At 39.1% G+C, this 26,985-nt stretch overlaps 1 protein-coding gene across 2 annotated transcripts in view; it reads left to right on the plus strand.

The window, feature by feature from the left end:
• The window catches only part of VPS13B (vacuolar protein sorting 13 homolog B), an 864,307-nt gene that overhangs the window by 795,647 nt on the left and 41,675 nt on the right, over positions 1–26,985 (plus strand). For both annotated transcript variants that reach the window (NM_152564.5, NM_017890.5), the window contains exons 44-54: positions 455–610; positions 8,620–8,883; positions 9,531–9,614; positions 9,793–9,968; positions 10,492–10,662; positions 11,001–11,202; positions 12,374–12,562; positions 14,912–15,058; positions 23,449–23,732; positions 26,277–26,404; positions 26,619–26,818. In NM_152564.5, the coding sequence (NP_689777.3) occupies positions 455–610; positions 8,620–8,883; positions 9,531–9,614; positions 9,793–9,968; positions 10,492–10,662; positions 11,001–11,202; positions 12,374–12,562; positions 14,912–15,058; positions 23,449–23,732; positions 26,277–26,404; positions 26,619–26,818 (2,001 nt within the window). The remainder of the gene's footprint in view (positions 1–454; positions 611–8,619; positions 8,884–9,530; positions 9,615–9,792; positions 9,969–10,491; positions 10,663–11,000; positions 11,203–12,373; positions 12,563–14,911; positions 15,059–23,448; positions 23,733–26,276; positions 26,405–26,618; positions 26,819–26,985) is intronic.

The raw sequence follows: 26,985 nt of genomic DNA on the forward strand, positions 1-26,985 counted from the left end.
TTGTTCTTTATCAAAAGAAAAAAGGTATGACAATTGATGATTAAAAAAAAAACCCACAAACCAAATTTAGCTTTCATTACTGTCTAGCCATAAGAAGGAAAAAACCGTCAGCCAATACCAAGGTTCTTTGATCTCACGCTTCAACCTTTTTGTCCTCCAGATGAATGAAATGATCTTTTCTCAAATGTTCAGCAGGCCTTTTACCATTTGATAGGAAAATTATTTTTAAGAAGGTTTAAAATGTGATCTGAAAAACCACATTGACTCTATGTGACATATTTGCTATTCTTAGCCTGGTGGAATAAGTTGGAAGTGGATGAATAATGCAGGTTAGAAAGAAAACAGATGCAAAATATTACAAATGGAAAGGTTTTCCAGCAATGAGACTTTCATTTTAGGACTAGGTTTTTGTTGGCACGTTTGGCATTATGACGATTATTGTTTTTTTCTCCAGCTGTTACACATCTGTATTGAAGGTTGGGGCAACTGGCGTTGGTCAGAGCCTTTCAGTGTGGACCATGCCGGGACTTTTATTAGAACAATTCAGTACAGGGGTCGAACTGCTTCTCTCATCATCAAGGTTCAGCAACTCAATGGAGTACAAAAACAGGTAAGTTTCTTTGTGTTCATGACCCAGACACCTCTTAATTATTCAGTGTAATGGAGATGAAAATAATTAATAATTTTTTTAAAATCACAGTGGTTATGCCTAGTTATATCTACTACTACCATGCATGTGAGCATTTAATAAATGCTTATCTATGATCCTGACAATGATGATGGCTTCAAACCCTTTGTCCCACTTCTTTTACAAGAGCTGCTAACAAGCAGTAAAATTTACTGATTTTAGTTTCACCTCTTCTCCCTGTCACCACCTACCTTCTGGTGGAGGTGCTAATGAGCTGTGAAATAGCCAAAAGTCCTTTATTGAGAAGGAAAAGAAGCAAAGAGTAGTGGGAACCCTGGATAATCCACCAGCGGATAACCAAGAGTTGGTTCTCATGCACGTGAGAATGATCTGTAAGGAAGTGCTGTGATACTCTCCCATGACAGAGTGGGCCTGGGTCTCCAGCAAGCTTTTCTTTTCCTAGGAGTTAATATTAACTGCAGTAAAAATTCACTGCAGCCTAACTCTTGGCATATAAAACCTCAGCTCTCAGCACATATTTTTACGTATTTTATAAAACTTGCTTTTTGGCTGTTTTTGAAGTTCTAAGACTGCAAAGGGAAAAAAGTATCTGACACTTTCTTTTTGTTCTTAAGATGTGAAAATGTGGTTTCTAAAAGATGTTTTTCAAGCATGGACAAGAGTAGAAAGAAAAGAAGGAAGTATTAAAATCTGAAAACTGGCTTCACTGCACACATAATAACTGGATTTGTCGTTAGAGTTTCAACATATACATCTGGATTGTAACAGTCTACCCAGAGCTTTTGTGGGACATGATAGAAACAGCACTTAGTCCCTGGAAAAGGGGAGCTTCCCCTATGGAGCAGCAGGGGCTATTCTGTTGCTGCATGCCAAGGAGGAATCAGGAAGCTGCTAGTGAGGTGAACAGTAGGACCCACACCATATGCATTCTTGGTCTGCACCTAATCAAGGAGCTGGACTTGGTGATCTTATTATTGTGGGCCACGGAAATAAAAAGAGAACTCAACTCTAGCAGAGGAGTCTCAGAAAAGAAGCATGGAAGACTCTTCCCAATTAACTGAGCATTCCTCAGAATATTTATTGATTGCCTAAAGTGGAACAAAGTAAAATGGAAAACACCAAGTATGTGAAACAGTCTTTGCTTTTAAATTGCAATTTTATGTAAGCCCAACAATGTTGTCAACTGACAGTAAGTGTAAAGGGAATTTAGAGGTTTCACTGAGAAGATATGACTTGAGCTGGGCTTTGGAAAATATGTAGAATTTGGATTAAGAGAGAGCATTCCAAGTAGACAGTATAGCATAAACGAAGAGACAAATGTGGGACAAATGAGTCTTACTGAAGGATTCCTGCAGGGACCGGCCTACTAGTGTGAGCATTGAGCCAAAGAGAACAAGGAGTGTCACTAACTCCCATCTGCCCTCAGAACACTCTTACATGAATCTGCTGTCAATGAATATCTGCCCAGTAAGTGTATACTGGTTTTCTGATTCTGTCACTCATGGTCTTTCAAGAATGTCTTACCCACCTTCCCATTGAGTAATATGTCTGAGAAAAGGTCATCCAGCCTCTTTGAATAGTTCAGATGACAAGAGGCTCATTCCCTCACACAGCAGCCCTTTCTGTTTGCTACCACCAGCTAAGTTTTCTTCCTGATTTCGAACCAAAAATCTTTCACCATTCCACCACCTTTCCCCATTCCCTAGAACTATGAGGCATATACAACAAGCGCAAAACTTGTGAGAACTCCACAAGTCACCTCTCCTCTACATTATAGCCCTTCAAAAACATAAGGGAAGCTATTGTGTTTCCCCTTGGTTTTCTTCTCTCTAGGCCTTCTCAAATTTGAGTATGCATCAGAATCCCCTGGAGGGCTTGTTAAAACACAGATTGCTGGGTCCCAACCCCAGAGTTTCAGATTGGGTGTGGTCTGTAATTTGCATTTCTAACAAGTTCCCAGGTGCTGCTGATGCTGCTGGTCCAGGGACCACAATTTGACTACTATAGCTCCAGTCTAAACTTTCCCAGGTAGTTCAGCTCATTTTAGTGTGGCTGCTAGAACATTTATCAGTTACTGAAATGGCAGGGTCCCTCCATAGAGAAATGGTTTTAATGGTATGTCCTCGTAGTCAAGATCATAGGCAACTTGGCTGTATCCGCTTGCTAGCTGTGTGATCTTCAGAAAGTCATTTAAACTCTGTGAATCAATTTCCTCATCTGTAAAATGAGGATAGTAATAGTGCCCTCCTCAGGAAGTTAGTGTGAGGATTAACTGAGTTTGTGTATGTAAAATGCTTACAACGTGCCTGCCCTCCTGCCATAGCCCTATATACCATATTTAAAATTACTCTAATGAAATGTTATCAGGCATGAGTAACACTAAGTTGGACGGTTTTGTATTATAACAATAGTGACTCATTCTTGAATAGATACTATATATTTTCAAGAAACAATGTTAAATTTCAGGGATAAATTAATATATACAGTGTTCCTGCACAAATATTACACATCGCAACAGTATACCTACCAAATGTCATAAAAGTTGGTTATTTGAAAAATACATTTCTAAAAATGTCTGGCAGTTTTACCTCTTCCCTGCCCCCTCACTCACTCAGATACACACACCCACAAGCAAAAATGTTAAATGTCTTTTTCAATTGGATTTAATTTTTGCTGTCAGGGTAGTTTAGCGTTCAGATTTGTTCTGGTTAAAGTACATCAGAGACGTAGGATTTCCTCAATTGGCAAGGTTGGGAAGGAAGAAGGGAACCAAGCTTCAGAAGAGCTTTGTGGATTCTTGTCTCCCTCACATCTTGGCTTCTTTCCTTCTACCCCACCTGGGCCTGGAAATTTGCAATAAACTGCAGCTGCCTAATTACCAGGGCCCATTTGGGGAGGTGAGTATATGCAGATCCCTGATGCACCTTAACACCCCCTGGATAATGGAGAATTGGCTAAAGCTCTTTTCTTAACATTGATGCTGGGTTATCTGTGCTCTGCATTTCTTATACCCCTCTCATTTCCCTCAATTGAATGAAAATTGACCACAGAAAATTTTGTGGGAACTTTGTATGTTCTACAACTACTATGTACACACATTTGCTTCCATGTTTCCCATCTTTTTGTTGAAGAAACCTTTACTACTCTAAAATCTCAAATGTACACATGTATGTATGTATAATGGTGTCTTTATACACATACTTTTAATCATGTTTAAGATATCGTTTTCCAGTGCATCTGGTGCTCTGGAGTTATTCTTCAATATCACTATTCTTCTTGGCACTGATCTAATAAGAGTTCTGAAACCTGCTAAGTAAAATCATATGTGGAAATCTTCAATACACATCTTTGTGGCTTTGGGGAAGGAGGGGAATTAGTGTGAAACCTGGAAATGTGTATTAAAGAGAAACCGTGCATTTAAAAAAATTAAGTAGCTGTCTTCAACTGATAAATTAATCTTGAAATTCTAACCATAATTTTCAAAATAAAGGCATTGTAAGTTTTGCCACTTTGAAGAAAAGCAGATAGAGCTCTCCTGAGCCTAACCCTGGAACAGCCGTGCAAGCACACTACTCCACTGAGTGACCATTTTTGGATTTTCTTTCATCTAAAGTAGCCTTCCCTCCCTGGCCACTTTTAAGAATTTTCTTTTATCAAATTTGAAAGCCTATTTAACAGGCTTTTTAGTTGAAAATGAGACTATAAAAACCCACCAAGAGGATCTTTGTCTTTAAACAAAGTGAGTCCCAGATGGTTGTGGAGATTCTGTGGTTTCTCTGAGAAACAGCCAAATTCTCTTCTAAATCTCCTGGGGTCCAAAGGTTCTGAAGCAAGAGCCATGTGCATATATTGCCAGGCTTGGGCACATCAAGAATAACAGAGTTAAATAATGCTTCAGAGTTTTCAAATGTTTATTTCAAGTTAGGCAATGCTATGGCATCATAAGACTTATCATGAGTGTCTAGTAACCCCTAGCATATGCTAAAGAAAAGTTTGCTTCCTAATTTAGGATCATAGTTCAGTTGACTTTTATGGTTTGTTATTGTGAAAGCATAGTTTTAAAAGATTATGATGGCTAGAGTATCTAGGGGAAATACAACTGTTCAGCACAGCTTGGTTTTACAGATGTGCTCCTTCTAAAGAAAATTCAAATAAGCAGATAGTTGAGAAATAAATGAGAAAATCTAAACCTCACCATTCAAATAATGCAAATTAAAACAACAATGACATTTAATTTTTGGTTCCTCAATCTAGCAGGTTTCTTTTGATTAAATAATAGTTCATCCCAGCGTAGTGGCTTATGCCTATGATCCCAGCACTTTGGGAGGCTGAGGCAGGAGAATCACTTGAGCCCAGGGGTTTGAGACCAGCGTGGTCAACATAGCAAGACCCTATCTCTACAAAACATAAAATAAAATACATTAGCCAGGCATGGTGGCATGTGCCTGTAGTCCAAGCTACTTAGGAGGCTGAGGCAAGAAGATCCCTTGAGCCGAGGAGTTCAAGGCTGCAGTGAGCTGAAATCTTGCCACTGCATTCCACCTTGGGTGACAGAGCAAGACCCCCATCTAAAAATAGTGATAATAATAATAGTTCATTTATAAATAGTTATTCATATTTATTGGTGTAAATAATAGTTCATTAAAATTGATGGTTACAGAGAACTCTTGATGACATAGGAAAATGTATCAGTTAGGACGCTTTCAGTTTGAAGTTACAAAATATGCTTGTTAATCTTCATAGCAAGTTAATGAGGCAGATACTATTCTATTTTATGTTTATTGTTTCACATAACGAGGAGGAAGAAGGCTGGTTCAGTATTGGCTAAGCAACCCAGTGTTGTATTTGCTTCTCTGTCATCCTCTTAGATTTGCCTGCCTGGTCTCAGGTGGCATTAAAGCTGTATACATCCTCTGATAACAGCTTCTGTGACACAAAAGAAGGGCTTCTCTTCTCAAACTGTCTCCCTTATTATCAAGGAGTAATATCTTTCCTAGAGCCTTTTACCAGTCTTACCTTCTCATATTATTAGCCAAACCAGAGTTCCATGTTTACCCTGATCGATGGCAAAAGGAGAATGGAATTAACAGGATTGGCTTGTACCAATCATGATACAGCCACTGGGGGCCAAGGGAGGTGTCTACCTTCCCTGAGTACTTTGCTGCCTTTTGATACCTAACCAAATCAAGTGAGGGTTTTTAACAATAAGAGGAAAGGAGAGAACAGCTATTGGGAAGAGAAGCAATGGTGTCTGACACATTTATGTTATAAAGAGCAGCCCTTACTTTCTTTTTTATGGTTTCTAACTTTTCTTAATGAGTAGATATTAATTTTATGAGAGACAGACTATCAGGGTGATGATCAACAAACTCTGGGCCAGACTTACTGGGTAACACCAAGCAAGTTATTAAATATCTCTGTTAAATTTTCTCTCTGTTAAGATGGGGAGTCACAGTAGCACCTACTTTATAAGGTTGCTGTGAGAATGTGTTCTCCAGAAAAACCGCACTGATGAGGGGGTGTGTGTGTGCACACCCATGCATGCACACATGTACATGCATGGGTGTGTGGGAAAAGAATGATTTATTATAAATTGACTCGTGATTATGAAACATGACATAATCTTAGAGAAGTCCCAAGATCTGCAGTCAGCAAGCTGCAGACCCAGGAGAGCCAATGTGTAGCTCCCATCTGATTACAAAGGCCAGAGAACCAGGAGAGCGAATAGTGTAAGTTCCAGTCCAAAGTCTGGCAAGTTCAAGACCCAAGAAGAGCTGATGCTTCATTCCAAGTCCAAAGGCCAGAAAAGACCAATGCCCTAGCTCAAGCAGTCAGGCAAAATGAGTTTCCTCTTACTTAGCCTTTTCCTTCGATTGGGTCTTCATTTGGTTAGATGAAGCCCACCCATGGTGGGGAAGACAATCTGCTTTACTCAGTCTACCAATCCAAATGTTCATCTCACTCAGAAACACCCTCACACACACACCCAGAATAATGTTTGACTAAATGTCTGCTCATACCATGACCCAATCAAGTTGACATACTAAAATTAAATATCATATGCTTAGACTTGTACATATACTGTGTATGTGTGTGTGTGTTATTCTGGAAAAATATTACAAATAGGAAATTCAGTATGTGAAAGTCCTATTTTCTCCAATCATGGTGAATATTCATATTACAGAAGGATTTGCTTTGTGAAAGAATTCACCACCGTATTAAATTTTGCATTATATTTTCAATTTCAACCAATTTAAGAAAACATTTGTTGTTTTTTGTAGAAATAGGGTCTTGCTCTGTCACCCAGGGTGGAGTACAGTGGTGCAATTACAGTTCACTGCAGCCTTGAACTCCTGGGCTCGAGTGATACTCCTGCCTCAGCCTCCCAAGTAGCTGTGACTACAGGCATACACCACCATACCTAGCTAATTTTTAAATTTTTTGTATAGATGGGATCTTGCCATGTTGCCCAGGCTAGTCTCAAACTCCTAACCTTGGCCTCTACCAGGCCCCCCATTTGTTTTCTCTCTCTCTCTCTCTTTTTTTTTTTTAGACGGAGTTTTACTCTTGTTGCCCAGGCTGGAGTGCAATGGTGTGATCTCGGCTCACCGCAACCTCCACCTGCCAGGTTCAAGTGATTCTCCTGCCTCAGCCTCCTGAGTAGCTGGGATTACAGGCATGTGCCACCATGCCCAGCTAATTTTGTATTTTTAGTAGAGACAGGGTTTCTCCATGTTGGTCAGGCTGGTCTCGAACTCCCGACCTCAGGTGATCCACCTGCCTTGGCCTCCCAAACTGCTGGGATTACAGGCGTGAACCACCGCACCTGGCCAAGACCCCCATTTCTTAATACCTACTATGAACTATACTCTCTTACCTGGGTGTAAAGTTGAATAACCCATAGGTTTAGTGGATAAATCTGTGTGTTTATAAAGATAAAACTTACACAGTTTAGGCCAGGCACAGTAGCTCATGCTTGTAATCCCAGCATTTTGGGAGGCTGGGGTGTGAAGATTACTTGAGCTCAGGAGTTTGAGACCAGCCTAGGCAACACTGAAACCCCATCCTACAAAAAAACACAAAAGTTAGCGAGGTGGGGTGGTGCATTCCCTGTAGACCCAGCTACTCTAGAGGCTGAGGTGGGAGGATTGCTTGAGCCTGGTAGATTGAGACTGCAGTGAGCTGTGATCATGCCACTACACTCCAGCCTGGGCGAAAGAGCAAGACCCTGTCTAAAAAAAACTAAATAAATAAACTGAATAAAATAAAAAAAATTAGATATCTGCATCAAAGATTTTGTATTATCTGTTTATACAGAGATTTCTTACTAGATAAGAGTGAAATAAACCCTTGAAAATCAACTTCAAGGAATAGATTGATCACAATTGCCCTCTCAGTTACCAGAGCTAAATGATTTTCAATTCCCAGTCTTTTCCATTTCTACTTCACTTGACAAGATTCACTGCCACCTCCTGGGCAGGCACTTCTCTTATGGCTTCAGCAAAACTACTGTCCCCTGATTCACCTCTGTTCTCCTTCATCCCTTCTTCTCTGGCCCCATTTTCTAGCTTTTCACCCCGAGTCTGCCCTTGGAGTATTGGTCAGTTTCTGGGTTTGAGCTTCTACCCTCTCTTTCAGGTAAACTATCTTCTGCTTGTGCATGTTTGCAAGGCTCTTCTTTCACTAATCATTATCTCCACCTCCACATTTTCTCTGGCCAGCACCTGAGCAGCATTTCTAATTGAGTACTGGACTCCTACATGTCTGTCCTTTAAATACTGCAAACTCAACATGGCCAAAGCAAAATTTCTTCTTGACTTCAAGTCTTTTTTCCTTCTTGTACTGTTTAAGCTAATTACTTCATTTTCTTTCCATTAACATCAACATAGTTTACTCTGTTTGAATGATAACATATTTCCAGTTAATGAAGTCTGAATTGATGAAGCCTTATATACTTAACTGTCTTTTAGATTATCATCTGTGGAAGACAGATCATCTGTAGTTACTTGTCTCAAAGCATAGAACTAAAAGTCGTTCAGCATTACATTGGTCAAGATGGACAAGCTGTAGTTCGGGAACATTTTGACTGCCTCACAGCCAAACAGAAATTGCCTTCGTACATACTAGAAAACAATGAACTGACGGAGCTGTGTGTGAAGGCCAAAGGAGATGAAGACTGGTCAAGAGATGTGTGCCTGGAATCCAAAGCCCCTGAGTACAGCATTGTCATTCAGGTTTGAAAAGACGTTCAATCTAGAATAGAGCAGCTTTACCATTGAAATTTTCTCAAAATGTTCTTTACTCGTACAGCACTTAATTTATTAAAAAGTGACATATAAAAAAGGGGAGTGAAAGGCTTTGAATAGTACTTCTCAAACTGTTTCCTCCCCATCCCACGACAATACATTTGTATCAGTTCCAGTAGTTCTTACAGCCAAGACTCTGTCCCTCCCAGACGCAAGTGATATCTTGAAAAAGATTCTGCTGCCCCAGGGTTAGGGGTAGGGTGGGACTGTGGGGGTGGTATCCTCCTCACTTAAGGATCTTTATGATGGTCTGTTACTTTATCTCTTCCTCAGTCTTTACCATCATCACTTTCATTCCCATAAAGGATAAATTCTCTTTCATTTTGCCACTTAGTCTTATATCTCTCCTTATGCAAATCTCTTTGTCTTTATGGAAAGAGTTGGCCCCGCTGACTCACTGCACATTTGCTTTCTGCCATAATGAAGTCTGTTTTTGCTCAGTTTTTTTTAATAATGGCTTTTTCCCTAAACTTTAAACTCTTTTTAATCTTCCAAACTGATGTATCTGTGCCTTATTTTGATTAATTAGTAAACTGCTTAGTATTCAATAGGACCCTTTGCTATTTCATGTGCAGGTGCCATCTTCAAACAGTTCCATTATTTATGTCTGGTGCACAGTTTTGACTTTAGAACCCAACTCTCAAGTGCAACAACGAATGGTGAGTGCTTTCCCAATCCTAAAATATGGTATATGACTCTGACCTTTCCTGTTCTGAAATAAATTAAGGTCAGAGTGACCCAGGGAAGAGATTTATTACAAGTTTGTTTCAGCATCAAACAGCTGGAATACTGCAACAAAGCAAATATGAAAGTTGTTCTATCCTTTTATTTTTATAGATTGTGTTCAGCCCTCTTTTTATCATGAGGAGTCATCTTCCAGACCCCATTATCATACATTTGGAGAAAAGGAGTCTGGGATTGAGTGAAACACAAATTATTCCAGGAAAAGGGCAGGAAAAACCACTGCAAAACATAGAACCTGACCTTGTACATCACCTGACATTCCAAGCAAGGTACTAGAAAAATCCTTCCATACATTTTACATTTTCCTAGGAGAAATTAAGTAGAAAAGTAACCTTGCACTGGGGGGCGGCGGGGGAGGGGTGGGTAGGGAGATGGGAGTGGAGGGAGTTTTTTGTATGATTTCTTATCTTATGAGAATGTTATTTTAAAATTGCCCTGCCTAGGGATCTCTTATTCTCATCTGTAGTTTTAGATAAAAATCAGCCTTTCTCATTAAGCTTAGAAATAACCAGCAGGGATCATCAGAACTTTTAATTTAATTTAGGTTTCATTGACACATGACTTCTGTGGTGAAAGAAGATGTGAATAGAGATCAACACCCAGGAATTGAGGGGTGGGGGAAGAAAGAGGAAAAGCCAGGGCCCAGATCATCCACACACTGTCCCATAAATGGACTCTATCTACCAAAAAGGTGTTGGTCTATAATACATTTGTAGTTAGATATTTTTCAATAAATTATATACCACTTTAGAAATCTGATAATTATTCTTGGTTTTTATTTCAATTTCCTAGAGAAGAATATGATCCTTCAGATTGTGCAGTTCCCATCTCAACATCCCTCATTAAGCAAATAGCCACTAAGGTACACCCTGGAGGCACAGTTAATCAGATCCTTGACGAATTCTATGGGCCAGAAAAGTCGCTTCAACCCATATGGCCCTATAATAAGAAGGATTCTGACAGGTAATATTCTTCAGTGATCTTTTTCTACAAAAATTTCTCAACATTAACAAATGATCATTCACAAAAATATTAAATACCATAAGTGGTGTGTGCATGTATCTGTCAGATTCTTACCTTTTATCATCTAGTAGGTGTATTTTGTAGATTTCTTTATTCATGATCTAGATCATAATTGCATGAAAAGTTGCTTTCTCCTGCATGCAAATTTAGCATTGAAAGATTCTGGTATGAGGAGGTATCATGCAGGAGCATGGTGTGTTTGGAATCTTTAAACATATTTCACAAATATTAAAGTTATCATATTTCATTGAGTCTCTTGGATGTGGTTTTTGGAACAGGAATGAACAGCTAAGTCAGTGGGATAGCCCAATGCGAGTGAAGCTGTCAATCTGGAAGCCATATGTTAGAACTTTGTTGATAGAACTTCTGCCCTGGGCCCTGCTTATCAATGAATCCAAATGGGACCTCTGGCTATTTGAAGGAGAGAAAATTGTTCTACAGGTTCCTGCTGGCAAAATTATTATTCCTCCTAATTTTCAGGTACTATAACTTTTTTAACTAATACGAATTCTTATCTCTCAACAAGTAGATTTTATTGTAAAGTTGCGTTTATGATCTTAACAGAATGAATCAGTTGTGAAAAATTCTTCTTAGATGCATATGTAAGAGGTATGGAATGTTCTTTGATATTCAAGGACTTTTCTGATGTCTTTTTTTTTTAACCATCAACACTATTGGTGCTTGAGTTACCATTAAATTTGATAACTTGGATTAGTTACATTCTTATTTCCATTGTTATAGGATATTTGACAAGTATTTGGGCTGCTCTATCAGTACATATTAAGGAAATAGAGCCATCATGTGTGCTTATCCATACCCTAGGTACTCTTTGCTGTTCTTCTGGAAATTCTCTGCAATCTGCAAGATATTGAGGATTTCAGAGCAACTGTTTTTGTCAGGGACCCCTTTCCTTTATAGGTGGACTTGGATGTTCATAATTATGGATGTCTACCCAGTTGATTATAACAGTGTGGAATGATTACTGACACAGAGAGAAACCTAATTGCAAAACAAAATATCGCAGGAAAATTTTATATTTCTGTCACAAAACCTTCTTTATAAGGCTAGTCTATTTCAAGAAGACACACAAATCTATTTAAAAAATAGAGTAAAAGTAACTCCTAAATAAAATGTCTTTCTGATAGAGAACAATTTCAGAATCCTTTTTTGAGCTCCAGGTCATAAACATCTTTATTTAATTGCATTTTTTCTTTTTTCTGTAAAATAATCAGGTGATGTTACCTTATGGAATTGGAATGTTGACCTATGTGGACCTAATGTTGCATATTATTCTCTTGTCAAATGAGATGAAACCTTCAGTTTTTAAAGCCTTTGGTATTTGCAGGGTAGTCACTGTTTGGGTTTGGTTTTCCCCTCCCTTCCGTAAATACGAATTCCATTGTGAGTAAAAAAAAAAAAATACATTGGGAGCCAAAATAGAATGTACGTTGTCATTACAAAACACACACACACACACACACACACACACACACACACACACACACACACACACACACACACACACCATGGAGGGATATTTGGTTACCTTAGTAGACCTATTATATAATATTAAAAAAAAAATCCTGAGGATTGAAGTAAAAAATATCAAAGGTAAGAAAATTACTTTATAATTGAGGCATTATTTTTCCAGGAAGCTTTTCAAATTGGAATATACTGGGCAAATACAAACACTGTGCACAAGTCAGTAGCAATTAAACTGGTCCATAACCTGACATCTCCAAAGTGGAAAGATGGAGGTAATGGTGAAGTTGTGACACTGGATGAAGAAGCGTTTGTTGATACTGAAATAAGACTTGGTGCTTTTCCAGGACATCAGAAGGTAAGATCAAAGTCTATGTGGCTGGGAGGAAATAGCATGCCATCCCCTTAACCTGTCTAAAATGAATCTGCCTTTTTCTTTTTGATACCTTTTTCATATTACTTCTTCTAAACAATTTATAACAGTACATTTGATTTCTTAACTTCTTAGACCTCTGTTTTACAGTGCTTTTTTTTCTTTACCAGTGATAAAAGCTGTGTCACATAATTTATCCAATAATTGTTCTATTTCAGAATACTCAGCAGTAACTTGATTTATAGTATGTGGGGAGAAAATGAACTTACTCCAAAATATCCACAAATTGTACTTGGCCTCCTTCTTTAGAGCAGAAAGTAGAGTCACTAACGTTCTGAGCATAGAGTGAAAGGACAAAGGCTCCTCCTGCAGCAAAGTTTATATTTCTGGAAAGGACATCCTGAGAAAAATTATGTGGATCAATTCTAATTCTCTCCTAGAACCACTGTTATATGAGGAAGTTATATTCTTGAACAGTGGACTGGTGTCTATGTTTTTGGAGATGCATACAAAAAACATAAGTCATTTAAATATAAATGGTATGTGCTTTTCAGCATAAATCTAAAGTCTATGAAAACAATTAGCTGAATAATATAACTAATCACATTATGTATGAAAGTACAATATCATAGTGTACCATGCAGAAGTTTTTTGCTGTACTTCTAATATCATCATTATTTTAGCTGTCCAAAATTAGAAAAAGAAGGGATACTTCATCAGAGTAGTAGAATTCAGATTGACCTTTTTCAGGGGAGAAGTTAGATTTTTGACAAGTGTCTTTGAAAAGTCTTTTGAGAAAAGTTAGGGTCATTTGGTGACTTTTTAAAAAATAAATTTCCGTGATACCAAGAAATTGGTCTTTCTTCAGCATTCAAGGCTGGTATCCATTTCCTCAAAGTTGTCTGGGCAACACATGTTTATGCTCTGACGGCCAAAGTACTGTAACATGGGTGTAAATGGCAAAGAGCTGTAAGCATGAATCACCCAAAGTTGAATAGTTGTAAGTTGAGAACTACCATCAAAACCTGGAAAAAATGTTATAATATTCAGTCAACACCCAATACCTCTAGCACCTAACAAAGTAGCCACAGCAAGTGTTGAATAAATGTTTGTGAATCAATGAATGTACTGTTGGAACACATATTGATGTCTAATTATGCTTTGGTAGTGACTCAGGACCTCTTTATACTCTTTTTAGTCTCAGGACCCCTTTATACTCTTAAAAATTATTGAGAACCCCCAAAGACCTTTTGTTTCTGTGGGTTATATCAGTATTTATCAGATTAGAAATTAAAACAGAAACTTTTAAAACACAAGAATATACAAATATATATTCCATTAGCTATCACAGTAATAACATCTCATGTCATGTACCTCTGGAAATCCACTGTACGTTCATGAGAGAATTCAAGTGTAAAAGATTAATAGCATCTTACTATTATTATAAAAATAGTTTTGACCGTGGGACCCCATGCCCAGAGATCCCCTGTGGGTCCCCAGACCACCCTTTGAAAACCAGTGTTCTGATACTATTAACTAGATGGGTATGTTTAAGCAAGAAACATCTTCTCTGAGCATCAGTTCCTTACATAACATGATAAGGTAATGAAATGATACATGTAGTGGTTAAGAGCAGCACCACAGAGCCAGACTGCATGGGTTCCAACCCCCTAGTTAGACCCTCTTCATCTTTGTGACCTTGGGGAAGTTACTTCTTTGTGCCTCACTTTCCTCTTCTGTAAAATGGGGTTAATAATAGTAACTCCCCCACGTAGGTACTGTGAGGATTTTGTGAGTTAATATGTATACAGCACTTGAAACTAGTGGAACACAATATTGCAATATATGAAGGTCAATCCTTATTGTCTTCATTGTCGTCATTACTGAAGTTCTCAGAACTCTCCTTGGTTCATCATAGGCATTAGTGAGGCAGCTGCTGGGAGACCATGAGGAGGAGGAGGAGGAGGAGTGAGGCTGGGTGGAATTCTGCCAAGTAAGATGAGTGGCATTTATTTACATATACATGCTTTCTAAATAAACACTTTGTGAGGTTACTGGTAAAATAACCAGAAAACAAGTCTTTTATCTGTCACTACAGAACAGCAGCAAAAGTAACAGGGCTGCTAAAGCACCATGTTGTAGGCTAAATACTGACAGGGGCCAGAACATTTCTGAGAATGAAAGGAACGCCATTAAATATTCTGGGGAAAAACAAAGGTAAAATTGGTACTGTCCTGGCAGACAATTAGATAAAATAACCTTTTAGGAATACTCAAGAGATTTTGATATGCCTTACAGTATTGTCAAAATTATTTTTTCTCAATTATCTTGTAGTTATGTCAGTTCTGCATTTCCTCCATGGTACAGCAAGGTATACAAATTATTCAGATTGAAGACAAGACTACAATAATCAATAATACACCATATCAAATATTTTATAAACCACAGCTATCTGTCTGCAATCCCCATTCTGGAAAGGAGGTAAGCAAATCATAACGATTCTTTTGTCTAAGTTTTGATAAAGAAACAATAAATAGGATCAACTTCTCTTTAACCTATAGCAAATGAAAAGCTAACCCTGAATGTAGGTAAAGAGAAATTCACTTATTTTTGTTGTAATTAAAACCATGAATGTCATGGTCACTGCTTCCAAGGTAATTAATGAGCAGAAATCCTACCAAGAAGGAGGCCCTGACACACTGCTGGATTAGTCCTGCCTGTGCCCCATCTGCTCAGAGGCTCCAGCCTAGTCCTCTAGCATGCTCACTAGACTCCTACAAGCAGAGACATAGTCATGAGGACTGGCTCCTGGGTCACATGGAAAAGCACATCTGTCTCACAGGCTGCAGTGCCTGGGGGAGCCATGCAGGCAAAAGGCTAGGGCCTAACTGAGCCGTGGATCTGCGAGCAGTGAGCTCTGTGGTTACAAGGAGAAAATGTGGAAATGTACTAGCTCATTTATGTTAACATCTTGATGGCAGAATATATGGAAAATAAATCTAAGAATTTCAGTTCTTTGAACAATTAAAATGAATAGTTAATATTTTAAGAGAGGAGAGATTTTTTTTTCTCTCCATTACATCTTAGATGTTTTCCCTTTTTTTTTTTTTAATTATACTTTTAAGTTCTGGGATACATGTGTAGAACATACAGGTTTGTTACATAGGTATACATGTGCCATTGCTGCACCCATCAACCCGTCATCTACATTAGGTATTTCTTTCTTCCCTTTCCTCCCCCTGCGACAGGCCCTGGTGTGTGATGTCCCCCCTCCCTGTGCCCATGTGTTCTGATTGTTCAACTCCCACTTATGAGTGAGAACATGTGGTGTTTGGTTTTCTGTTCCTGTGTTAGTTTGCTGAGAATGATGGTTTTCAGCTTCATCCATGTCCCTGAAAAGGACATGAACTCATTCTTTTTTATTTCTGCATAGTGTTCTATGCTGTATATGTGCCACATTTTATTTATCCAGTCTATCATTGATGGGCATTTGGGTTGGTTCCAAGTCTTTGCTATTGTAAATAGTGCTGCAATAAACATACATGTGCATGTGTCTTTATAGTAGAATGATTTATATTCCTTTGGGTATATACCCAGTAATGGGATTGCTGGGTCAAATGGTATTTCTAGTTCTAGATCCTTGAGGAATTGCCACACTGTGTTCCAATGGTTGGTTTAATTTACACTCCCACCAACAGTGTAAAAGTGTTCCTATTTCTCCACATCCTCTCCAGCATCTGTTGTTTCCTGACTTTTTAATGATTGCCATTCTAACTGGTATGAGATGGTATCTCATTGTCGTTTTTATTTGCATTTCTCTAATGACCAGTGATGATGAGTTTTTTTTCAGGTTTTTTGACCACGTAAATGTCTTCTTTTGAGAAGTGTCTGTGTATATCCTTTGCCCACTTTCTGATGGGGTTGGTTGGTTTTTTCTTGTAAATTTGATTAAGTTTCTTGTAGATTCTAGATATTAGCCCTTTGTCAGATGGATAGACTGCAAAAATTTTCTTTCTGTAGGTTGCCTGTTCATTCTGATGATAGTTTCTTTTGCTGTGCAGAAGCTCTCTAGTTTAATTAGATTCCATTTGTCAGTTTTGGCTTTTGTTGCCATTGCTTTTGGTGTTTTAGTCATGAAGTCTTTGCCCATGCCTATGTCCTGAATGGTATTGCCTAGGTTTTCTTCTAGGCTTTTTATGGTTTTAGGTCTTAGTTTAAATCTTTAATCCATCTTCAGTTAATTTTTGTATAAGGTGTAAGGAAGGGATCCAGTTTCAGTTTTCTGCATATGGCTAGCGAGTTTTCCCAACACCATTTATTAAATAGAGAATCCTTTCCTCATTGCTTGTTTTTGTCAGGTTTGTCAAAGATCAGATGGTTGTAGATGTGTGGTGTTATTTCTGAGGCCTCTGTTCTGTTCCATTGTTCTATATATCTGTTTTGGTACCAGTGTCATGCTGTTTTGGTTACTGTAGCCTTGTAATACAGTTTGAAGTCAGGTAGCGTGATGCCCCCAGCTTTGTTCTTTTTGCTTAGGATTGTCTTGGCTATGCATGCTCTTTTTTGGTTCTACATGAAGTTTAAAGTAGTTTTTTCTAATTCTGTGAAGAAAGTCAATGGTAGCTTGATGGGGATAGCATTGAATCTATAAATTACTTTGGGCAGTATGGCCATTTTCATGATACTGATTCTTCCTGTCCATGAGCATGGAATGTTTTTCCATTTGTATGTGTCCTCTCCTATTTCCTTGAGCAGTGGTACATAGTTCTCCTTGAAGAGGTCCTTCACATCCCTTGTAAGTTGGATTCCTAGGTATTTTATTCTCTTTTTAGCAATTGTGAATGGGAGTTCACTCATGATTTGGCTCTCTGTTTGTCTGTTATTGGTGTATAGGAATTCTTGTGATTTTTGCACATTGATTTTGTATCCTGAGACTTTGCCAAAGTTGCTTATCAACTTAAGGAGATTTGGGCTGAGTTGATGGGGTTTTCTAAATATATAATCACGCCATCTGCAAACAGAGACAATTTGACTTCCTCCCTTCCTATTTGAATACCCTTTATTTCTTTCTTTTGCCTGATTGCCCTGGCCAGAACTTCCAACACTATGTTGAATAGGAGTGCTGAGAGAGGGCATCCTTGTCTTGTGATGGTTTTCAAAGGGAACGCTTCCAGCTTTTGCCCATTCAGTATGATATTGGCTGTGGGTTTCTCATGAATAGCTCTTATTAGTTTGAGATATGTTCCATCAATACCTAGTTTATTGAGTGTTTTTAGCATGAAGGGGTGTTGAATTTTATCAAAGGCCTTTTTTGCATCTATTGAGATAATCACGTCGTTTTGGTCATTGGTTCTGTTCATGTGATGGATTACATTTATTGATTTGTGTGTGTTGAACCAGTCGTGCATCCCAGGAATAAAGTTGACTTGATCTTGGTGGTTAAGACTTTTAATGTGCTGCTGGATTCGGTTTGCCAGTATTTTATTGAGCATTTTCGCATCAGTGTTCATCAGGGATATTGGCTTGAAATTTTCTTTTTTTGTTGTGTCTCTGCCAGGTTTTGGTATCAGGATGATGGTGGCCTCATGAGATGAGTTAGGTAGGAGTCCCTCTTTTTCTATTGTTTGGAATAGTTTCAGAAGGAATGATACCACCTCCTCTTTGTACCTCTGATAGAATTTGGCTGTGAATCTGTCTGGTCCTGCGCATTTTTGGTTGGTAGGCTATTAATTACTGTCTCTATTTCAGAACTTGTTTTTGATCTATTCAGCGATTTGACTTCTTCCTGGTTTAGTCTTAAGAGGGTGTATGTGTCCATGCATTCATCCATTTCTTCTAGATTTTCTAGTTTATTCGCATAGAGGTGTTTATAGTATTCTCTGATGGTAGTTTGTATTTCTGTGGGATCAGTGGTGAGCTCCCCTTTATCATTTTTTATTGTGTCTGTTTGAGTCTTCTCTCTTTTCTTCTTTATTGGTCTGGCCAGCAGTCTTATCTATTTTGTTGATCTTTTCAAAAAAAAAAAGCAGCTCCTGGTTTCGTTGATTTTTTTTTTTTTGAAGAGTTTTTTATGTCTTTATCTCCTTCAGTTCTACTCTGATCTTAGTTATTTCTTGTCTTCTGCTAGCTTTTGAATTTTTTTGCTCTTGCTTCTCTAGTTCTGTTAACTGTGATGTTAGGGTGTCAATTTTAGGTCTTTTCCACTTTTTCCTGTGGGCATTTGGTGCTATAAATATCCCTCTAAACACTGCTTTAGCTGTGTCTCAGAGATTCTGGTATGTTGTGTCTTTTTTCTCATTGGTTTCAAAGAACTTATTTATTTCTGCCTTAATTTCATTAGTTACCCAGTAGTCATTCAGGAGCAGGTTGTTCCATTTCCATGTAGTTGTGTGGATTTTAGTGAGTTTCTTAATCCTGAGTTCTAATTGCACTGTGGTCTGAGAGACTGTTTGTTATGATTTCTGTTCTTTTGTATTTGTTGAGTGTTTTACTTCCAATTATGTGGTGAATTTTAGAATAAGTGCTAGGTGGTTCTGAGAAGAATGTATATTCTGTTGATTTGGGGTGGAGAGTTCTGTAGATGTCTATTAGGTCCTCTTGGTCCAGAGCTGAGTTTAAGTCCTGAATATCCTTGTTAATTTTCTGTCTTGTTGAGCTAATATTGACAGTGGGTGTTAAAGTCTCCCACAATTATGGTGTGGGAGTCTAGGTCTCCTTATAGGTCTCTAAGAACTTGCTTTATGAATATGGATGCTCTTGTATTGGGTGCATATATATTTAGGATAGTTAGCTCTACTTACATTGATCCCTTTACCATTATGTAATGCCCTTCTTTGTCTTTTTTGATCTTTGTTGGTTTAAAGTCTGTTTTATCAGAGACTAGGATTACAACCACCGTTTTTTTTTTTTTTTTTTTTTTTTTTTTTTTTTTTTTTTTGCTTTCCATGTGCTTGGTAAATATTCCTCCATCTCTTTATTTTAAGCCTATGTGTGTCTTTGCACATGAGATGGGTCTCCTGAATACAGCACACTGATAGGTGTTGACTCCTTATCCAATTTGCCAGTCTTTGCCTTTTAATTGGGGCATTAGCCCATTTACATTTAAAGTTAATATTGTTATGTGTGAATTTGATCCTGTCATCATGATGCTAGTTGGTTATTTTGCCCATTAGTTGGTGCAGTTTTTTCATAGTGTTAATGGTCTTTACATTTTGGTTTGTTTTTGCAGTGACTGGTACCAGTTTTTCCTTTCCATATTTAGTGCTTCCTTTCAAGAGCTCTTGTAAGGCAGACCTGGTGGTGACAAAATCCCTCAGCATTTGCTTGTCTGTAAAGGATTTTATTTCTTCTTCACTTATAAAGCTTAGTTTGGCTGGATATGAAATTCTGGATTGAAACATTTTCTTTGAGAATGTTGAATATTGGCCCCCACTCTCTTCTGGCTTGTAGAGTTTCTCTTGGCCGAGAGATCCACTGTTAGTCTCATGGGCTTCCCTTGTGGGTAACTGGATCTTTCTGTCTGGCTGCCCTTAACATTTTTTCCTTCATTTCAACCTTGGTGAATCTGACGATTAAGTGTCTTGGGGTTGCTCTTCTTGAGGAGTATCTTTATGGTGTTCTCTGTATTTCCTGAATTTGAATGTCGGCCTGTCTTGCTGGGTTGGGGAAGTTCTGGATAATATCCTGAAGTGTGTTTTCCAGCTTGGTTCCATTCTCCCCGTCACTTTTAGGTACACCAATCAAATGTAGGTTTGGTCTTTTCACATAGTCCCATATTTCTTGGAGGCTTTGTTCGTTCCTTTTCATTCTTTTTTCTCTAATCTTTTCATGCTTTATTTCATTAAGTTGGTCTTCGGTCTCTGATATCCTTTCTTCCACCTGATCAATTCGGCTATTGATACTTGTGTATGCTTCTCAAAGTTCTCGTACTGTGTTTTTCAGCTCCATCAGGTCATTTATATTCTTCTCTACACTGGTTATCCTAGTTAGCAATTCATGTAACCTTTTATCGCGGTTCTTAGCTTCCTTGCATTGGGTTAGAGCATGATCCTTTAGCTCGGAGGACTTTGTTATTACCCACCTTCTGAATCTACTTCTGTCAATTTGTCAAATTCATTCTCCATCCAGTTTTGTTCCCTTGCTGGTGAGGAGTTGTGATCCTTTGGAGGAGAAGAGGCATTCTGGTTTTTGGAATTTTCAGCCTTTTTGTGCTGGTTTTTCCTCATCTTCATGGATTTATCTACCTTTGGTCTTTGATGCTGGTGACCTTCAGATGGAGTTTTTGCGTAGTTGTCCTTTTTGTTGATGTTGATGCTATTGCTTTCTGTTTGTTAGTTTTCCTTCTAACAATCAGGCCCCTCTTCTGTAGGTCTGCTAGAGTTTTCTGGGGGTCCACCCCAGACCCTGTTTGCCTGGATATCACCAGCAGAGACTCCAGAACAGCAAAGATTGCTGCCTGCTCCTTCCTCTGGAAGCTTTATCCCAGAGGGGCACCCACCAGATGCCAGTTGGAGCTCTCCTGTATGAGGTGTCTGTCAACCCCTGCTGGGAGGTTTCTCCTCATCAGGAGGCTCGGGGGTCAGGGACCCACTTGAGGAGGCAGTCTGTCCCTTAGCAGAGCTTCAGCACTGTGCTGGGAGATCCACTGCTCTCTTCAGAGTTGGCAGTCAGGAACGTTTAAGTCTGCTGAAGCTGTGCCCACAGCTGCCCCTTCCCCCAGGTGCTCTGTCCCAGGGAGATGGGAGTTTGATCTATAAGCCCCTGACTAGGGCTGCTGCCTTTCTTTCAGAGATGCCCTGCTCAGAGAGGAGGAATCTAGAGAGGCATTCTGGCTACAGCGGCTTTGCGGGGCTGTGGTGGGCTCTTCCCAGTCCGAACTTTCTGGAGGCTTTGTTTACACTGTGAGGGAGAAACCACCTACTCAAACCTCAGTAATGGTGGATGCCCCTCCTCCCACCAAGCTGGAGCATCCCAAGTCAACTTCAGACTGCTGTGCTGGCAGTGAGAATTTCAAGCCAGTGGATCTTAGCCTGCTGGGCTCCCTGGGGGTGGGATCCACTGAGTAAGACCACTTGGCTCCATGGCTTAAGCCCCCTTTCCAGGGGAGTGAACGATTCTGTCTCGCTGGCATTCCAGGTGCCACTGGGGTATGAAAAAAAACTCCTGCAGCTAGCTCGGTATCTGCCCAAATGGCCGCCTGGTTTTGTGCTTGAAACCCAGGGCTCTTGTGGTGTAGGCACCAGAGGCAATCTCCTGGTCTGTGGGTTGCAAAGACCCTGGGAAAAGCGTAGTATCTGGGCTAGATAGCACCATCCCTCACAGCACAGTCCCTCATGGCTTCCTTTGGCTAGGGGAGAGAGTTCCCTGATCCCTTGCGCTTCCCGGGTGAGGCGACACCCCACCCTGCTTCTGCTCACCCTCCTTGGGCTGCACCCACTGTCTAAACAGTCCCAGTGAGATGAGCCACGTACCTCAGTTGGAAACGCAGAAACCATCCACCTTCTGTGTTGGTCTCGCTGGGAGCTGCAGAACGGAGCTGTTCCTATTCAGCCATCTTGCCCGGGAATTGGTGTTTTTTTCTTTTTTTTTTTTTTGAGATAGAGTCTCGCCCTGTCACCCAGGGTGGAGTGTAATGGCATGATCTTGGCTCACTTCAACCTCTGCCTCCTGGGTTCAAGCGATTCTCCTGCCTCAGCCTTCTGAGTAGCTGGGATTACAGGTGCCCACCACCACACCCAGCTAATTTTTGTATTTTTAGTAGAGATGGGGTTTCACCATGTTGGCCAGGCTGGTCTCAAACTCCTGACCTCGTGATCCACCTGCCTCAGCCTCCCAAATTGCTAGGATTACAGACATGAGCCACTGGTACCCAGCCGTAAGGAGAGGTCTTAAGAGAACTTAAAAACAGAAAATGTTAAGTGGTATGCTATTGTTTTATACTATTGAAACTGTCTTATAGGAAAGTATTATCTTTCTTTACCTTTGTCTGCACTTTTACCTCCTGCTTTCAGCTCCTAAAAATTATGTTAGATTAATCAAATAGGATAAAAGTCTTATACTTTTAAGCTTACAATGCATTGTGGTAAAGTCAGCCCTCTGTCTCTGTAGGTTCCATAGTTATGGATTCAACCAAACATAGACCAAAAATATTCAGGAAAAAATAAACTAACAATACAACAATTTTTAAAATACACATTTTAAAATACAATATAACAATCATTTACATAGCATTTACATGTTATCAAGTATTACAAGTAATATAGAGATGATTTAAGTTATACTGTAGGATGGCACGGTTATATACAAGTACTACGCCATTTTTGTATAAGGGACTTGAGCATCCGTGGTATTCTCACTGCTTCTAATTATTTCATTAGGACATTCTCATGGGGACAGGATTCATAATATTCCCATGTCCCCAACCCAGCCTCTTTCTAAAAATACATAGTTATAGATGGTGTCTTAGAAGATGTGCTTTACGGGGCCAGGCGTGGTGACTCACGCCTGTAATCCCAGCACTTTGGGAGGCCAAGGTGGGCGGATCACTTGAGGTCAGGAGTTTGAGACCAGCCTTGGCCAACATAGCGAAACCCCATCTCTACTAAAAATACAAAAATTAGCCGGGCGTGGTGGCATGTGCCTGTAGTCCCTGCTACTTGGGAGACTGAGGCATGAGAATTGCTTGAACCCAGGAGGCAGAGGCTGCAGTGAGCCGAGATGGTGCCACTGCACTCCCGCCTGCGTGATGGAGTGAGACTGTCTCAAAAAAAAAAAAGAAAAGAAAAGAAGATATGCTTTAAAAAGTTTAATTCTGCTGTATTACTGTAGCTAATGTGCTCTCTGCATTTTTTTTTTTTTTTTTTTTTTTTTAGTATTTTCGTGTTCCAGACAGTGCTACTTTTAGCATTTGCCCAGGTGGAGAGCAGCCTGCTATGAAATCCAGCTCCCTTCCTTGCTGGGACTTGATGCCTGACATCAGTCAGTCAGTACTGGATGCATCCCTGCTTCAGAAACAGATCATGCTGGGCTTTTCTCCTGCCCCAGGTGCTGACAGCTCACAGTGCTGGAGCCTGCCAGCTATAGTTAGACCAGAGTTTCCCAGACAGAGTGTGGCAGTACCCCTCGGGAATTTCCGGGAAAATGGATTCTGTACCAGGTATTTTATGTTTATATAAATGTCTGTTCTTCTTTGCTTGTCAGTCTAGCTGTTCATCTAGATGCCAAGAGAGATACAATGGTCGCAGGGCTCCCCATATGTAATATTAGGCTTTATTTTTAATTACTTCTAGACATTGTATACAGTGGGTCAAGTGTTATAATCACATATGGCTTGTCCCAGCATACTACTTAAGGGATTTTTCCCCATATGGAGCTTACGCTGGGGGGAAATGATGGTACTTGTACCACAGAATGTCATTATATGAAAAGATCATATGTATCATCATACAAATAGCATCGTATGAAAAGATCATATCATAATGAAAAAATTACCTGTTATGAGTTCTTAGCCTCCATAAAATTATAAGAAATAAGGGTTAAAATATGAGCAAGTCAAGTTGGAAGACCTTTTTCTTTTCCCATATTTTACTTTTACTTCAAAATGGAATTTTTCTCAAAAAAGTCATTAAGAGAGATAACTTAGATAAACACAAGTCACAGAAGACTCTGTTCTGTGGTCGTTCCTGCACGCAAGTTGCTCCAATTACCGATTACCAGTTATGCAAATAACAACCACAGACTCAAACCAGAGACATATAATGGTTTGTTCATACTGGACTTCTATTATGTGGTTGTCTTGCATGTAAAATGTCCCTTCTGCAGCTGTCAAGAATAACTTAGTATATATAACAGCTACAAAAGAAAACATATTGTGCCCTTATGATAAGTACCTTATTTTCATGATTATGAATTTGTAGACTTTATTTGAGATTTAGCAATGCTAACTCTTTTGATGTAATATTTTAAAAGACAAGAGAGATTTTTTTAATAGTAATATTTTAAATAAGTTATTCATAATGGTAAGGTTCTGTTCTCCACACATCCCTCCTTCGTTCACAGTATTCACAAAATCCTTGATTTTACAAACATTTGTCATCTTTTACACTGTAGAGGAGTGGTTATCCTTACATTCTGGTTGGAGATGTTAAGCATAGTGAGTTTAAGGGTGTTTTTTGAAAGCTATATGAACTTATAATAAATAAAACATTTTTTAAAAAACAAAATTTGAAACAAAACAATTTGGAAATTAAGCTTAAAATTCTGATAATTACAGTATAATTTAATCTTATCTATAAATACTAAGCTAGATATTGGACAGAAAGTACCATACTTGAGTCCTGGCCCTAGCCTTCTTGGCTATCAAAAAGAAGTTATCTGAGTTTGGCTCGCCTAGCTGTTTTAAAATTAGGCTGGGAAAGGAACTTTGCTGTTTATCGAAGAACTATACTCTTAAAATGAATTTATTTTGTGCTGTCCCATCTCCTCATCTATTTCCTTCCCTCAATCCAACCAACAGCACACATTAGATGGTGTGATTAATGTGCTTTTACCAAATGCTAATGGACCATTCACTTTGACATTTCACACAAATACAATCTTTGGGAAGTACTCACACTGGCAAATGAGATGGATGGCAAATGGAAGCTTTTTAGAGCATTATTGACCCCTTTTAGTCAGCTGAGGGCCACATTTGGCAAATTGTCTGATTTCTTTGATTAATTTTGGCAATCATTCTATGTAATTTAGGCTTCAGAGTAATTTCATTTTCCTGCTTCAAAGAAATATTCTTTGTGGTAGTCTGTAATCTAAATAGGAAAATTTCTCTCTCTTCATCACAGAAGGCAACCTTTACTCACACAGCTGGTTTTCTAGCTCCAAATAATACAGCTTTGCTCCTGCTAATCAAAATGTACATTTTTTAAGGTGTGATGGGCTTGTGGAAATTGACAGCAAACATTATCAGCCTGCCTACCTCTAGAAAAAAAAGAGCAAGCACCCAAATTCTCTAGTAGTCCTTTTAAAAGAAGGTCAGCTCTTATTTTTATTTTTTATTTTTTTTGATACAGGGTCTTGCTCTGTCACCCAGGCTCGAGTGCAGTGGCACAAACACGGCTCACTGCATCCTCAACCTCCCAGGCTTAAGCCAACCTCCCAGGCTCCAGCCATCCTCCTCCCACCTCAGCCTTCCAAGTAGCTGGGACCACAAGTGTGCACCACAGCACCTGGCTAATTTTTGTATTTTGCTGTAGAGATGGGGTTTTGCCCTTTTGCTGAGGCTGGGCTTGAACTCCTGGGCTTAAGCAATTCTCCTGCCTTGGCTCCCAAAGTGCCGGGATTATAGGCGTGAGCCACCATGCACAGCCTACCAAGCACTTTTAAGGAAGAAGAAAGTACCCTGCCTGGCGAAGGAGTTTAACACACATATGCATGGGGGAAGAAAAGAACAACAGGAAATATTAGCACAAGGTTAGCTATAGTTCTCTCTGGGTGATAGAATTATTTTGTTTGCCTTTAAATATTTTTTCACATTTTATGAATATTATAAATATGTTACTGTTATCAGAAAAGGAATCTCCCCTGAGTTATAAAACAGATATTTTCGAGTTCTGAATGTTGCAAATCTAAATAAACATGTTCCAGAGGAGAGAGCATTCATTTTTTTTCCTAAACATTTCTGTCATTTGACTTGATTCTCTTCCAGGGCTATAGTGCTGACATATCAAGAACACCTCGGAGTGACTTATTTAACCCTCTCAGAAGACCCTAGTCCTCGAGTAATTATCCACAATAGATGTCCAGTAAAAATGCTTATAAAGGAAAACATTAAAGGTATGTTTTATACTATCGAATTTAGATAATACTAAATGTGTATTTTTTCTGGGATTTTTTGATTTAGTAGTTACCTGTGATCCTGTGAAAAAAATATTTAAATAAAAGCATTAATGATCTCTTTTTGAGAAGTTTCTTTTGCCACATTATGTTCTGTCCCCCAAGTCTCTGTCTTTAAGGGCTAATTCTGCATATGCCTTTTTTAAAATTTCAGATATTCCAAAGTTTGAGGTTTATTGCAAAAAAATTCCCTCCGAGTGCTCAATTCATCATGAGCTGTATCATCAGATTTCCAGTTATCCGGACTGCAAGACCAAAGACTTACTTCCAAGCCTACTTTTGAGAGTTGAACCTCTAGATGAAGTAACAACTGAGTGGAGTGATGCCATTGACATCAACAGTCAGGGAACACAGGTCAGTGAGCCATGTGTTCCTGCCAAGACCCAAAGAAAAATGCCCTTTTCTGAGGTTTTGTCAGTTGCCTATTTTTAAACATAATTTTCTAAATGCTGAACATCTTTTCTCTGTGTGAGAGAACATGTGTATCCATTTTTACGTCCTCATTAAGTTATAAATTCTCA

Source organism: Homo sapiens, chromosome 8 (genome assembly GCF_000001405.40).
Source record: "Homo sapiens chromosome 8, GRCh38.p14 Primary Assembly".
Lineage (NCBI taxonomy): Eukaryota > Metazoa > Chordata > Mammalia > Primates > Hominidae > Homo > Homo sapiens.